This window comes from Homo sapiens, chromosome 6 (genome assembly GCF_000001405.40).
Source record: "Homo sapiens chromosome 6, GRCh38.p14 Primary Assembly".
Taxonomy (NCBI): domain Eukaryota; kingdom Metazoa; phylum Chordata; class Mammalia; order Primates; family Hominidae; genus Homo; species Homo sapiens.
In genome coordinates this window covers 8,094,448-8,109,941 of record NC_000006.12, presented here as the reverse complement: position 1 = coordinate 8,109,941, position 15,494 = coordinate 8,094,448, and the positions used below count along the sequence as shown (strand labels likewise).

Sequence of the window (15,494 nt, the reverse complement as noted above, 5' to 3'; positions counted from 1 at the left end):
CCTCAAATGATCCACCTGCCTCAGCCTCCCAAAGTGCTAGGATTACAGGCATGAGCCACCGCACCCAGCCCCATTCTCTTTCAACACTCCTCTGTCCCTCTAATATTTTGCCCCAATGATTACTATTCATTAACCTTCATTCACTCATTCTAGAAATATTATTGAATGCCTACTCTGTGTCAGTTGCATCTCAAGTGATTTAGAGTCTATTTGGAAGAGTCCAAAATGTGAATAAATAGGTGCAATGAAGTATGGCAAATTTCTTTGTAGGGAGCAAATACAGGGTTCAGCAGAACCCAAAACACAGAGTGACCAGCGCTGCCTGGGTTGGGGGTGAGGATAGGAAGGGATTAGGAAAGTCTGCAGAGAGAAGGTGACCCTGAGCAGAGTCTGAAAGGAAGTAGTTCTCGGGGCACATGTCCCTTCAATGGCCTGTGCTGCTCTTGAACAGAAAGAATTAGCCTGTCACCAGCATGCTGGCCCCAGGCTGACTCTTCACCTGAAGGGTGGCACCGAGGACATGCTCCGCCCTTGAGCCTTCCTCCAGGGAGTGTGGAGAAGACGTTCTGCTGCTAAAAATCCTGTGACTCTGCTGTCATTGTCCCCAGGGCTGTGGTTGGAGCTGTGCTGACAGCTCCTCTCTCACACCTCCTCTGCAACAATCTCAGTGACACTGTGCAGCAGGGTCCCCAGCATGGCTCTCAAGCCAAGATCCACCCAAGCCTTGATGAACTGGAGTCCCCCAAGATGAGCCTGGAGTTCTAAATTGAGTCGCCGCTGAGTCGGAGAATTAGGAGGCTATAGAGAGGATGTCGGGGCAGGACTCAAAATCTGGGGGATACTTTGTTCTTTTCTAAGGTATTTCTCTATCTGTAATGCTCTGAAGATTCATTTTCTTACACTTCTTGGAGCCTCAATTTCCTCATCTATAAAATGGGGATAACAATGGTATCTGCTTCAAAGGCTGGTGTGATAATTCATGAGTTAATACAAGAGCTTAGAACAGAGTCCAGCACAGAGCAGTGATCAGTAAGTGTTTGACAGCCGGATGCCGAGAGGGAGGAGAATGAGGACGATGGCGATGATGATGGTGATAATGTAATAAATGGCCACTTCCTGAGCCCAGAGAAGGTGGTTTGGGGGATCAATGAATGTTTGGGAGACTAGCGAAAGAAAATGATTTTTCTTTCAGTACATTGGTTGTCCATTCCTGACTTGTAGTTTTGAGTCATTTTCATTTGCACTGGTCAACCGTCAGATAAGGGATTTTTAATTTTTGGTGTTTAATGTTTGCTTAAAGATGAGACTGTGTAATATCCTCACAGTTCTCATGTTACTTGTTTTGACCCATTGACCTAGCTTTCCACATCATTCCATATGTTTGCATGATTCTTTATTCATTCGGCAAATGAATGTATCCAGTGATCACTCTGTTCCAAGGCTGGTGCCTGGTGCGATGACTCAGTAATAAACAGGATGCAGTCTGTGTGCTCAGTCAGCATGCCGGCCAGGGCAGGCAGATACCAAGAAGGTAGCCTCAGCACAGTGGGGTCTGTCTTGTGGCAGGAGCATTCCCAAGGCTGTTATGAGTGCTCAAATTCAGCCCTAAGAGAGGAAGCGGGGCATTCCTGCTGGAGTGAACCAGAGACAGAAAGGCCCAGAGGCAAGAGAATATTTTGGGCTCCCAGGAGCTGTGAGGAGATGGCCAAGGCTGGGGCAAAAAATGCCAGGCAGGAAGTGTCTAGAAGTGAGCATGAAAAAGTCAACAGAGGTCAGGTTATAAAGGACCTTAGCTCCCAGATAAAGGAGGCTGGACTAAATTCTAAGTGCCATGAAGAGCCACAGGCATGTTTTCTGGAAGGAGTGACCAAATAGATTGGCAGCTAAGAAAGATCACCTGAGGCCAGGCATGGTGGCTCACACCTGTAATCCCAGCACTTTGGAAGGCCAAGGTGGGTGGATCACGAGGTCAGGAGTTCAAGACCAGCCTGGCCAACATGGTGAAACCCTGTCTCTACTAAAAAATACAAAAAATTAGCTGGGCGTGGTGGTGCGTGCCTATAATCCCAGCTACTCAGGAGTCTGAGGTAGGAGAATCGCTTGAACCTGGGAGGCAGAGTTTGCAGTGAGATGAGATCACACCATTGCACTCCAGCCTGGGTGACATAGCAAGACTCTGTCCTCCGCATAGAGATAGGTGTATATAAATGATTGTAGATAAGAATTGGCTCACACAATTATGGAGGCTGAGAAGTCCAGTGATCTGCTGTCTGGAAGTTAGAGACCCAGGAAAGATGCTGTGATATGGTTTGGCTGTGTCCCCACCCAAATCTCATCTTGAATTGTAACTCTCACAATTCCCACGTGTTGTGGGAGGAACCTGGTTGGAGGTTATTGAATCATAGGGGTGTGTCTTTCCCATGCTGGTCTCATGACAGTGAATAAGTCTCATGAGATGTGATGGTTTTAAAAATGGGAGCTTCCCTGCACAAGTTCTCTTCTCTTGTCTGCCGCCACATGAGATGTGCCTTACACCTTCCACCATGATTGTGAAGGCTCTCCAGCCACGCAGAATCGTAAGTCCCATAAACCTCTTCCTCTTGTAAATTGCCCAGTCTCAGGTATGTCTTTATCAGCAGCGTGAAAATGGACTAATACATGGTGGTACCATTCAAAAGCCTGGGAGCTGGACAGCAATGGTAAAGATTCCCATCTGAGTTTGAAGACTTGAGAACCAGGAGCACCATGGGCAAGAGAAGATCAGTGTTCCAGCTCAGCAGTCAGGTCAGGAGTAAATATCACCTTCCCTCATACTTTTGTTTTATCCAGGTCCTCACAGACGGGATGATGCCCACCCACGCTGGTGAGGGTGATCATCTTCATTCAGTCCACCAACTTAAATGCTCATCATTTCTGGAAACACCCTGACAGACACACCCAGAAATGATGTATTACCAGATATCCAGGCATCCTGAAGCCCAGTCAAGGTGACACATAAAATTAACCATCAAAAATAAAGGATGCCCAGAGGCCTCTAAAAATTTTTAGAGGCATCGTTCAAGGACCCTTCCAATCCAGCATCTGCTTACCGGTCTAGCCTGAACAGTTACTCCAAAGAATCATGCTCTCTTCCACTTTGCAGCCTTTGCATATGCAATTCCCATTGCTCAGAACTCTCCCTCAGTTTTCCACCCCACCACTCACCTGACCAACTCTTGTTCATCCTTCAAGTCTCAACTTGAACACCATGACCTCTTGGAAGCAATCTTTTTTTTTGAGATGGAGTCTCACTCTGTTGCTCGGGCTGGAGTACAGTGGCACAATCTTGGCTCACTGCAACCTCCACCTCCCAGGTTCAAGCAATTCTCTGCCTCACCCTCCTGAGGAGCTGGGATTACAGGTGCCCACCACCACCACAGCTGGCTAATTTTTGTATTTTTAGTAGAGATGGGGTTTCACCATCTTGACCAGGCTGGTCTTGAACTCCTGACCTCGTGATCTACCCAACTCAGCCTCCCAAAGTGCTGGGATTACAGGTGTGAGCCACCGCGCCTGGCCAGGTGCCTTCTCTGCATTCTTATCATGCCTTCCACTTCCTGATCTTTGCCTTATCGCAAAATTGTTCTAGTGTCTTTCCTCTCAAGATACTCTAAGTTTGATGGGAGTTGTTCATCAATGTGTCCCCAGTGCATTGTACAGTGCCTGGTGCATAGTAATGGCTCAATAAACAAGCGTGGTAAGTGCAAGACATACATAGATATGAGAGGTATCTATAGAGAGAACAAAATGCATGCATAGCACCTGCATCACTTCATTTACCACATATTTAATATCATTCACACCTAAGTTTAAAACCCTATCATATTCTGAAATAGAAAGTTAAACTCTTCTAAAACTGAAAATTTGCAGATGATGGCACTGCTAAGAGCAATCTGATACAGTAACAGTTTCTGGCATATGCAGCTCATTTTAACAGATGCCCATATGACATACAGAAAGCTGTCAGGCATGCTCCAAAAAGAAAAGCCATCCAGTTTATGTTCCACTTGCCAAATTAATTTCATTTGACATTTAATTTATATCCTAAGGTACTGTGGATTTAAAACTTGACTATGATAATAGCAGATTAGAGAAGTGTTCTATTTGACAAAATCAATTCATCAAGTTACTTTTATTATGAGTAAGGCTGTGTTGATATAGATATTTCAGATCAAATATGTAGATCATCTAAAAATACATTTATTGATTATTTCTAATAAAATATAAGCTTTCTCCTCTTTCTTATGTCTAATGTTAAGTGAAGTAAAGCTTGCACCTGCTCACCGTAACAACAGAGAAAGGAGACATTAGAAAATCAGAACAGTGTGGATTTAAAAGCCAGGAAGCAGAGTTGAAATTCTGCATCTGCCATAGGGGGTTTCAACCCTGGCCACATATTAGACTCAGCTGAGGATTAAAAAAATAATAATAATAGCACCCAGTCCCACCCCGGATAAAGTGAATCAGAATCTCCAGTATGGCATGGATTTTTTTTTAAATCCCCAGATGATTCATGCACAGATCTATTAGTTATGTGAATTTGGGCATGGAATTTAATACCCATAGTATATAAAATGGAATGTAGTAGACATTTGCCACAATCATGATGTGACAATCCACTTAAAAAAATTAACAGTTTATTAGTTGGAACCAGACTTGAAAAAAAGATTTATATATTGCAATTGGTTGACAGTTCCCTTATAATGCTTTCAACTTACAGGTTCACTTCTCTCTGCCTCTTCTTTTTGCTTTGCAATTTACTTGTTGAAACAACTGGATCATTTGTCCTATAGTTTTCATGATCTAGAATTTGCTCATTGCATCTCCATGACATCATTTAACATGATCCTCTTTCCTGCTATTATTTCTTGTAAATTGGCTGTTAGATCAAAAGGCTTGGTCAAATTCAGATTCGATTGGCAAGACTGGGTGATGATGTACACCTCTCTCAGAAGCAATTTATGTCTGTTTGTCTCTGTTTTTATGATGTGAATAGCTATTGATAATTGTCACCTAGATTCATTATTATATCCGTAGCTGCAAAACAATAATATTCTATTGTTCTGTTTTTATTAGTTAGAATTCTATAAAGACATTTTTCCTCATTAGAGTTTAGTTTCCCTGAGATACAGTTTACATAGGATAATCATGAAAAAATATATTGGTTTCTTCATGTGTTTTCTTTATCCTTTTTCAAAATAATGAATTGGATCTCTAGTATCCTCCAAAGGTAACGAATGAGGGTTATTTTGATTTTGTTCTTGTTTTTTTTTTAGTATCATTATGAACTCATAGACTTAAACATATTCAACATGTTTCAATTCATTGCAATTATTCTTATCGACTCTCAGCTTGTAATGACTATTATTGACCCTCAAGTGATCTGATCCTACCCTTTGACTCCCCTCATTACTCTTAGATACTTTCTTTTCTTTCTACTATAACTAGATGGTCCAGACTGATCTCCCCGCAAGGTTTGGATTCAGCCGGTCTCCAAAGAGCCCCCATTTCTTTTTGTGGGAAATAGTATTTGAAACCAGAATCTGGGTGCTGGGGTGCTCATTGCTACTGAGTTGTCCTTGTTTCTAGGCCTTTTAAGTAAACAGAGCTAGGTAGGAAATACTTTTCATTTTCCTTAAGATAAAAGCGTCATAAGTTCATATTGATATTACAATTCAAATTCAGGACCAGAAAGTTTTGATTTAACCTCATCTACCTTACAACTCCTCTTTTGGGCAACACCAAACACCCAACTTTCCAGCAACACCACATGATTGCATCTTTGCTTTATTCCACAGTACATATACAGCACCATACCAATGCTGACACTGCCAAGATGCTAACCAAACCAACAAACAAAAAGAACCAAAAACAGGTTTTCATGAATTTTGTCCTTAAAGCATATCTTACTAAGAGTATACAATTAAATGACTGTGCTATAAAGTCACTTAAAAGAGGTCCACACTGGGTGATGATGTCATCAATTTGATGTACAATATGCTTTGTTCTGCTTTCAGTTTTTTAGGGATTTCTTTTTTAATTTGATATTTCTATAATTATGCAAAGGCCAAACCTTATTTTCAATATACCACCCATTGGCATTGGATAAATGTTAATTTTTTTAAAAAATGTTTTATTACAAGCAAAAAGTGTACCTAAACCCTGAAAATGGATATGTGAATTATCTTAGAGGGTTGGTCTTTTAAAAAGTAGTAGAATAGTCATTCCATTATCTGAATATGGAAAGTAAAACAGATAATTTAGTGCCTAACAATCCACTTATACTGAAATTTCTTTTGTATTTTGTTATGTTGATTTGGCAAAAGTTTCTTTTCCTTATGTTTACTTCTGCTGACAGAGTAAACTCATTAAGTATTCTGGGATAGGGAAGGTGTAACACAGTAACAACATTCCCCACTAAACTTTGATATTTCTGATTCAATGATGAGTTACCTTGTAGGATTGTTCTATTTCTCTCAGACTAATACACACTTTGTTTATTCATTCTTCAAAGTGGAAAATATTTTGTATTTTCACAAATCTTTTGGAAATATTCAACATATACTACTAATTTTCTTTCTTTCTTCCTTTCTTTCTTTTTTGAAGATACAAGAATGTAGCAAGTTAGTGGGGCAAAGTTATGCACCTTGTTTATTTATATACCAAAACTTCATAAATTATGTAACCAGCCTTCTGGTACTGCAAAAAAAGATCATTAATGCCATTAATGGCTTATTTCCTTGAGCTGTAATTATTTGACCCCTATCTGACATACTCCGTGTTCTGTGAATAATCTTTAAATGTATAATTCTACTGCTAGTGTTGAGCTGTAGATCAACAGTAGAAAAACCAGTTTTTCGAATTCACCACTACAACACAATTAAAATCCTCATGAATTATGCTACACGTTAGAAACTCCTAATGGACTGTGAACTTTTTGCTATTCAATTTGATTGTTCAAATTTACAGATTCCTGAACCAAACTAAGGCAAATTTCAGTTCCCATCATATATAAATTCTCTTAGACTAGCAAATGAGTTAACGAGTTACCGCTGGCAGCCATGTCAATAGATTGCCATTTAGAGATCCAGATCCAGTCTACTGCAGCCACCGAAGCCCGGCCTTGGGGCCTTTCTACCAGTAACTAGCTCCCCAACAGTTCGAGTGGAAATTTACCATCACTTCTCCACCTGTCTCACACCCCGCCCTCAGCCCCGCCCCTTCCACCGGCCCCGCCTCCTGTGCTTTGGCGCGCGCTCTCCACGCCCCTTCCGTTCAGCCAATCGCCGCTGAAGTTTGCAGGAGTGGGACTTCTGTTTCCACCAATGCGGGAGGTTCTTGTTCTGCAGGTCTCGCGTCTGCCAGGAGCTACGGCCGGAAGATGGCGGCGGCCGCAGAGTTGTCGCTACTGGAGAAGTCCCTGGGACTGAGTAAGGGGAATAAATACAGTGCTCAGGGCGAGCGACAGGTGAGAAGGAGAGGCGGCGCGGAGGGGAAGAGGTGGACGGGAGCGGGGCCTGCCGAGCCCTGGCAGGACCCGGGCCGGCCACCAGATACGGGCGGAGTGAGGATGCTGCTACCCAGCTCCCCACGTGTCTGCGCCGCTAGCCGGCTGGCGCCTCTGGGCCTCGGCCCCTGCCATCCTACCTCCTGGAGGGAGGGGTTAACCAGCTCAGGTTGGGCTTGGCCTGAACTTCACCTCCTGGGAAATTGTCATCATCCCATTATGAGGAAACAAAACCAGTTGGAGGAGGGTCCTCACAGGGCTCTTAGACCAACCTGGAATGTATTCAGTAACTGGCTTTTTTTTTTTTCCCGTAATCGCACCTTTCATTCAGTTATTGCGCAGCGACTCCGTTATAGCTAACAGGGTGCCAGGTAGCACCGTGCTGGGTCTGGGGAATACAATGATGATTTAGGGGAACATGCTTCCTCCTCTCAGGCAGCTTGCTTTTTGGCCAGGTGGACAAACATTGCAACCATTTAAATTGGAAGAGTGCCACGTTGCACCATAAATGGCAGAGAGAACACCTAAGGAGTCTTGGCCCAATCTAGGGGATTCGGGGAAGGCGTTTCTAAAGCCTTGGATTATCAGTTTAAGTGTTACGACCCACAGTGAATGCGGGAAACATCACAAGGTATGAGATTGCCTGGTTAGGCACTGTTAGAACGTTTGTGTTTTATAGTTGTTTGTCGTAGAAGGAATGTATTAGAGAAGGAAATTGGTTGTAGGAAGACTACTTTGGATATATGTTTTTTTTGCTCCTTTGAGATTTTTTCCAAATGATGTTTGGTTTTTGTCTTTAATTTTTTCTCTTCTTCATTTGGTCCATGTGAAGATCTTGTCTAGAAAGTAGTAGTATAGTTTTTATTTAAGTTAACCTGAAGCCTAGAAAGGTTAAGTGTTCAGCCTAAGATCAGCCCTGTGATTGGTGGCAGAGTAGGCGTTGGAGCCAAAGTGGCCTTCTTTTGGTGTTTCCTCTGCCCCAGTGATAATTCCGTCCCTTCGGCCCCTACTCCCTAGCTTAGTGTATATATTATATAATATATATGTAGTATAAATATAATATATATGGCCGAGTGGACAAACATTGCAACCGTTTAAATTGGAAGAGTGCCATATATATATATATATATATATATATATATATATATATATTTTTTTTTTTTTTTTTTTGAGACAAAGTCTCACTGTGTCGCCCAGGCTGTAGTGCCATGGCATGATCTCGGATCACTGCAACCTCTGCCTCCCGGGTTCAAGCGATTCTTCTGCTTCAGCCTCCCAAGTAGCTGGGGTTACAGGTGTTCGCCACCACGCTCAGCTAATTTTTGTATTTTTAGTAGAGACCGGGTTGCACCATGTTGGCCAGGCTGGTCTTGAACTGGTGACCTCAGGTGATCCACATGCCCTGGCCTCCTAAAGTGCTGGGATTACAGGCGTGAACCACTGTGCCTGGCCTAGTTTATATTTTTTAGGGACCATTGCCAAGATATGAGTATTATCTAGTATGAGAAACAATCATCAGCAAATAATTTAAAGCACAACATAGTAAGCACTTCATGGACTGTCGTGGGTGAGCAGCAACTCTCTGGGGCTGGTGGCGCCAGGGTAAGAATTTACCAGGACAGCTGTACGTAAAGAAAAGCAGATTTATTAGAGAAAGTATGAAAATATGTTGCAAGAGTGCAACAGGCAAGTTAGTAAGAGAGGAGCTAACTGCAAGGAAACAAAGGCTGGCTGGGGATTTTACGGAATAGTACTTCAGTTGTGTGCTGAAGAGGGGTTTGTGCAGTACTGATAACACCAAGGTTGCAGTGAGCTAACTTGAGTTTTCTATCAGCCGAAGGTCCGGTGATAGCTGGACATGGAAAGATTGTTGAGTTATTTGTGCAGAAGGGCTGTGTCCTGGACCATGAAGAAAGGCAGACTTGTAGCTTATCGCCCTTCTCTTTTTGCTTTCCCTTGGTCCCCTCAACCTGACTTCTTTTCCCTAATTAGGACTCCATATGGAGCAAAACACTGTTGAGGAGTGTGAAAAAGGAAGTTAATTCTGACTATAAAAGTGGATGTATAAACTCATGGAAGAGCTGGCATTTAAGGGATTATGCTTTGAAAGATGTGTAAAACCAATAAATTATGAAGGATTGGGAAGTTTAGGGCAGTAAGTAAACCAATATGAGGAATGATGCAATGCAAGGTAAACCCCAAATTACAGTTTGAGGCCCAACTGTGAAGACTTCCGAGTTCAGAGTGTGGTTTTTAATTTAATTTTAATTAAAGCATTTTAGCAGTTAGCAGCTAGTGAAAGTTTCTGTTTACTTGTATGGGGAAAGGGTTGGCCATATGTGATAAGATTCAGCCATTTTTTGAGAAGACAGCTGACAGCAGTGAGCCAGCAATAAGGCATTCTCTGCAACATTACCAATCATAGTTTAAAAATTGAAAGCAGTTCAGAGATCCTTATCTAGGATATTGATTCTTTAAATTATGGTACATCAACACATTGACATACAGTCACGTGTTATTTAAAGACAAGGATACATTTCAAGAAATGCATTGTTAGGCAGTTTCATCATGTGTGAACATTATAGAGGGTTCTGTTTTTTTTTTGTGTGTGTGTGTGTGTGTGTGTGTGTGTGTGTGTGTGTGTTTTTGAGGCGGAGCTTCACTCTTGTTGCCCGGGCTGGAGTGCAATGGTGCGATCTCGGCTCACTGCAACCTCTGCCTCCCGGATTCAAGGGATTCTCCTGCCTCAGCCTCCCGTGTAGCAGGGATTACAGGCATGTGCCACCACGCCCGGCTAATTTTTGTATTTTTAGTAGAGACGGGGTTTCTCCGTGTTGGTTAGGCTAGTCTCATACTCCCGACCTCAGGTGATCCGCCCACCTCAGCCTCCCAAAGTGCTGGGATTACAGGCGTGAGCCACTGCGCCCAGCCTTAGAGTGTTCTTAAACCTAGATAGTTTATCCTACTTCACAAATAGTAGGTATATGATATAGCCTATTGCTCCTTCAGGCTACAAACCTGTACCGCATGTTACTGTACTGAATAATGTAGGCAGTTGTAACACAATGGTAAGTATTTATGCATCTCAATATACTGAAACATAGAAAAGGTACAGTAAAAATACTTGATTATAATCTTAAGGGAGCACCATTGGATATGCCATCCAGAACATCGTTGACCAGAATATCATTATGCATTGCACGCTATTGCATATGCAGCCATTAAAAGTCATTACTTTGAAGACTATGGAACCTTAAAATGAATGTGAAAATAGTATGTGTCTCATAAGAATTGTGTATTTTAGGGTATGTAAAGGAAAGAAAATGGACGTTTAAGCCAATAGGACTTTATTCAAACCCTGGCTCTGCCATTGCAAACCAAGCAACCTTGGTTTTTATTATCTGTAAAATGAGGATGAGATGACTTACCTTATCTTAGAAGATGTAATGATTAGATGAGAACGTAACTGGGAATTTTTTTGAGAGCATGCTTGGGTTGTGGATAATTTATTTTTACAAATAATTCTCTTTAGAGTTGGTTGTGTCCCCTCCGCCCAGCAGTTGTGAGTCCCTTGATTTCTCTTTTTTCCTCAAAATATACCATACATTCAGTACACACATGTTGATGTTACCACCAAGTTCACACACTCAGGTAACCACCCAGTCAAGGAGTAGAACATTACTGGCACCCTTCGGAGGGTTCCATACTGTTTTCTTTCAATACATTTAATTTATTGGTGATCTTAGAGCTTGTGGTTTCATTTGAATTTAAGACAAAAGTGAGAAGTCAAGGAGCTATGAATAGTGAATGGAAAGTGAAAAGAATTTTACCTCCTTTACTTTGAAGTTACCTCCTTACTTTGAATCTGTATCCTGTAGAGTATTAATCTCCTTGTATACTTCACCAAGTCGTGTTGATGTAGATGTATGAAAATGCCTTGCAAAGTATAAATCACTATAGAGAACAAGATAGTATTTCGGCCGGGCGCGGTGGCTCACGCTTGTAATCCTAGCACTTTGGGAGGCCGAGGTGGGTGGATCACGAGGTCAAGAGTTCCAGACCAGCCTGACCAACATAGTGAAACCCCGTCTCTACTAAAAATACAAAAAACTTCCGGGTGTGGTGGCACGTGCCTGTAGTCCCAGATACTTGGGAGGCTGAGGTGGGAGAATCGGTTGAACCCGGGAGGCAGAGGTTGCAGTGAGCCGAGACCATGCCACTGCACTCCAGCTTGGGTGACAGAGTGCGATTCCGTCTCAAATGAAAAAAAAAAAAGATACTATTTCTATTTCATTGCTAAGAAGAGCAGCAGTCTTCCCAAAAAAACAATTCTTTTTTCATTTACTTAAGTCATTGAGATTGTATACTTGTTATTTGTGTTTGGTCAGTCTTCCCATTAGGTAATACTTTCCATTTTCTTTTACATTTCTCATAATGCATTGTCCTTATTTGTGTATCAATAAAATTTAAATTAATTGTCAATTTCTTATAAGCAAGCAAACCTGATCCTTTATATTGCTGTCGTAATAGGGGAAACATGAAGTCAGGTTTATTTAAGTATGTTCACTTTGCTATATAATAGGGTGCAGGTAAACTTGATTGAAATTAATACAGTATAATTAGAGTTTCCATTTTCTCTCATTGTACATAGTTTAAAATTATTGTAGTAATATTATACTGATTATTGTAGTAATATTATACGGATTTTTGCAATGTTATTACCAGTTTCATCATCAAGCATCTGTTAACAAATTGTAAATTATTTAACTGTTATTTTCTAGACTTTCATTTGTATGTAATTTAGTATCTTAGAGTAAAATCCAGGATTATTTCAAAAAACACTTGAGGGATTTCGTGGTTACTTAGAAGTTATAATCATGATGTGGTCCTTGTTTTTTAAATTCTGTGAACTTTTTTTTCTTTTTAAGATTCCAGTTCTTCAGACAAACAATGGTCCAAGTCTAACAGGATTGACTACTATAGCAGCTCATCTAGTCAAGCAAGCCAACAAAGAATATTTGCTGGGGAGTACTGCAGAAGAAAAAGCAATCGTTCAGCAGTGGTTAGAATACAGGGTCACTCAAGTAGATGGGCACTCCAGTAAAAATGACATCCACACACTGTTGAAGGTATCGTGACTTCTCTTATAGGCTGAAATGCATGAACTGTTAATCAGAAATCTCTTTCCCCTGAGATTAAAAAGCTGTAGCTGTTGGCCTTCTTCACCTCTTTCCTTCTGCCTCAGTAGTTTGCATCTGTTATTCCCTCTGCCTGGAACAGACTCTGTTCCCCCCACCAGCCCCTCCAAGATATGCTGCCTTGGAAACTTCCTTGACTACTTCTCTCTCAGCTGGATGAGGTTCTTTGTTCTATATGCAGTCACAGCACCCTGTGCTTTTCCTTCAGGACCCTTGTCATAGTCAATAATTACAGTATTATATGACTTTTTTTGTTTTTTTGATGTGATGCCCCACTCGACAATCCCGATTCTCTAAGGGGTAAAGTACTTTCTCAGAGGCAAGAGAGAAGCAGAATCTTTTAGGGTTTAGTTTGAAAAAAACTGTCTGATCTGGGAAAGCTCACCTTTCCCTGTTTTGAGAATCATTGCTTTAAATTTTTATTTTCAAAGGCATCAAATAATAAAATAATCTACTGGATATAGCTTCAGAGTTACCAAGAATAAAAAAAAATTCCAAATGAAGTTATTTTTGTTAATTTATTTATATAAAAAGAAGGCAGATTTTAAGATTTTGTTGAAGCTTTAAATTTGAAAGAAACCTAGAGATTATTCAGACAACAGCATATCACTGTAGGAATTCCTTCTGTTTCTTAATTTTATTCTGATTGTTATATCCTGGCAATGTAAGTTGTACAAGAAAGGTCTTCCTTTATCACTTTGGGGAAAATGGCTCAAACTGTGTTCTTGATAGATGCCATCAAGAGAACTGGTACAAAGTCAGTTTCAGAACTTGGCCCTTTGTATGTCTGTTGTGATCAACCATTTATTCTTAATACCATATTGGTCATTCACAGGGACCCTTCTCTTGTGCCCCTACTATTCACAGCATTTCCAGGGGGAAGCAGTCATATCCTCCCTCCAAGTGAATGTGAGATTTCAGGCAAATAACAAGTGAACACAACCATCTTTTACAGTTTTCCAAGGGAAAGGATAGTAATGAAGTACTTGATTCCGAAAGATAGGAACAGAATTTCAATGAATTGGGTTTATAAGATTCAAAAGTTATATTAATAGATGTGGTATTAGAAGCATAGAAATAACTTCCAAAGTGTTATCTCTGAGACATGTAAATATTTAATTGGGAGCCTCTGATTTAAGATGTTCTTGTTTTTGAAATATATGTGGAGCTGGACAATTTGCATTGTCTTCCTTGTCTGACCGCAGTTTGCTCATCTGCACCTACTATATAAACGCTTGCAGTGCACCAGGATGCAGTTCTAAGGGCTGGTGGTGCATTAGACACAGTTTCTGCCCTTATAGAACTCAGACTGGTGGGTGAGACCGATTGTACATAGAGTGGATTGCAATGTGATTTTGGCCACATGCACAGATGAGAAAAGGGTTGATTTGTTTTGTTTTGCTATTTTAAGACAGTATTGTTTTTATTTTAAAAGCAGTAAATATTACAGAATTTAGGAAGTAGAAATAAGCAAATGGAGGACATTTGAAACATCCATAGTCCCACCAACAAGAGAGAACTATTAATGCTTATGTTTGGCCATCAGATATTTATTAAACCCCTTTTGTGTTTTTTCTATGCCTTTTTTTTCCTTTTGTATATATGTGTGCATGTATTAAAAAAAAAAAAAAACAGGCACCTACTGGGCATGGTAACCTGTTGGTTTTGTTTTGTTTTGTTTCTTTTTATTTTTTTGTCACAGGTTCTCACTCTGTCACCCAGGCTGGAATGCAATGGCGTAATCTTGGCTCACTGCAACCTCCGCCTCCTGGGTTCAAGTGATTCTCGTGCCTCAGCCTCCCGAGTAAATGGGATTACAGGTGTGCACCACCACGCATGGCTCGTTTTTTTGTGTTTTTAGTAGAGATAGGGTTTCATCATGTTGGCCAGGCTGGTCTCGAACTCCTGACCTCAAATGATCCGCCCACCTCAGCCTCCCAAAGTGCTGGGATTACTGGCGTGAGTCACCTCGCCTGGCCAGTAAACTGTTTTTTTGTTCACCGACAATGTGTTGTCAACACCTTTTTACATCAACAAGTATTCACTTACACTCTCCTTTTAATAACATGTTAGCGTTGCATCATATATAGTTGACCCTTAAACAGTGCAGGGCAATGACACCCTGAGCAGTTGAAAATCCATGTATAATTTTGATTCCCCAAAAACTCAATTGCTAATAGCCTACTGTTAACTGCAAGCCTTACCTGTAACATAAAGTCAGTTAATACATATTTTGTATTTTATGTGTATTATATACCGTATTCTTAAAGTAAGCTAGAGAAAAGAATATTATTAAGAAAATCATAAGGCGGAGGGAATACGTTTACTATTCATAAAGTGGAAGTGGATTGTCATATAGCTCTTTATCCTCATAGTCTTCACTTCACATTGAGTAGGCTAAGGAGGAGGAAGAAGAGCACGGGTTTGTCTTACTCTCTTGGGTGACAGAGGTAGAAGAAAATTTGTGTTTAAGTGGACCTGTGCAATTCCAACCTGCGTTGTTCAAGGTTTAAGCTGTAATTGTACCACAATTTAAATTATCTATCCCTGGGTAGTTACTAGATTGTTGCTAAATACTTGAGCACATTCCCATTTGTTTCCTTAGCCTAATTTTTTTTTTTTTTTTTTAAATAGAGTCTTGCTCTGTCACACAGGCTGCAACCTCTGCCTTCCAGGTTCAAGCAATTCTCCTGCCTCAGCCTCCCAAGTAGCTGGGATTACAGGTGTATGCCACCACACCCAGCTAATTT

General features: G+C 40.9%; 1 protein-coding gene and 1 long non-coding RNA gene across 3 annotated transcripts in view, besides 4 other annotated features; both read left to right on the top strand.

The window, feature by feature from the left end:
• Positions 617–809: a silencer, noted in NCBI's record as "fragment chr6:8109366-8109558 (GRCh37/hg19 assembly coordinates)". NCBI's record gives its function as "represses an EF-1alpha promoter that drives an FKBP-Casp9 reporter gene in an ReSE screen in phorbol 12-myristate 13-acetate-treated (for megakaryocytic differentiation) K562 erythroleukemia cells {active_cell/tissue: K562(+PMA)}" and the evidence as "EXISTENCE:reporter gene assay evidence [ECO:0000049][PMID:32094911]".
• Positions 7,142–7,341: a silencer, noted in NCBI's record as "silent region_16896". NCBI's record gives its function as "represses an Ori minimal core promoter by ATAC-STARR-seq in GM12878 lymphoblastoid cells {active_cell/tissue: GM12878}" and the evidence as "EXISTENCE:reporter gene assay evidence [ECO:0000049][PMID:35858748]".
• Positions 7,347–15,494, top strand: part of EEF1E1-BLOC1S5 (EEF1E1-BLOC1S5 readthrough (NMD candidate)) — an 89,029-nt gene continuing 80,881 nt past the window's right edge. The window contains exons 1-2 of the long non-coding RNA NR_037618.1: positions 7,347–7,507; positions 12,475–12,675. This is a non-coding gene — a long non-coding RNA (EEF1E1-BLOC1S5 readthrough (NMD candidate)). The remainder of the gene's footprint in view (positions 7,508–12,474; positions 12,676–15,494) is intronic.
• The window catches only part of EEF1E1 (eukaryotic translation elongation factor 1 epsilon 1), a 29,189-nt gene continuing 21,088 nt past the window's right edge, over positions 7,394–15,494 (top strand). For both annotated transcript variants that reach the window (NM_001135650.2, NM_004280.5), the window contains exons 1-2: positions 7,394–7,507; positions 12,475–12,675. In NM_001135650.2, coding sequence (NP_001129122.1) covers positions 7,421–7,507; positions 12,475–12,675 — 288 coding nt within the window. In that variant the 5' untranslated portion in view covers positions 7,394–7,420. The remainder of the gene's footprint in view (positions 7,508–12,474; positions 12,676–15,494) is intronic.
• Positions 7,482–7,601: a silencer, noted in NCBI's record as "silent region_16895". NCBI's record gives its function as "represses an Ori minimal core promoter by ATAC-STARR-seq in GM12878 lymphoblastoid cells {active_cell/tissue: GM12878}" and the evidence as "EXISTENCE:reporter gene assay evidence [ECO:0000049][PMID:35858748]".
• Positions 7,810–7,995: a silencer, noted in NCBI's record as "fragment chr6:8102180-8102365 (GRCh37/hg19 assembly coordinates)". NCBI's record gives its function as "represses an EF-1alpha promoter that drives an FKBP-Casp9 reporter gene in an ReSE screen in K562 erythroleukemia cells {active_cell/tissue: K562}" and the evidence as "EXISTENCE:reporter gene assay evidence [ECO:0000049][PMID:32094911]".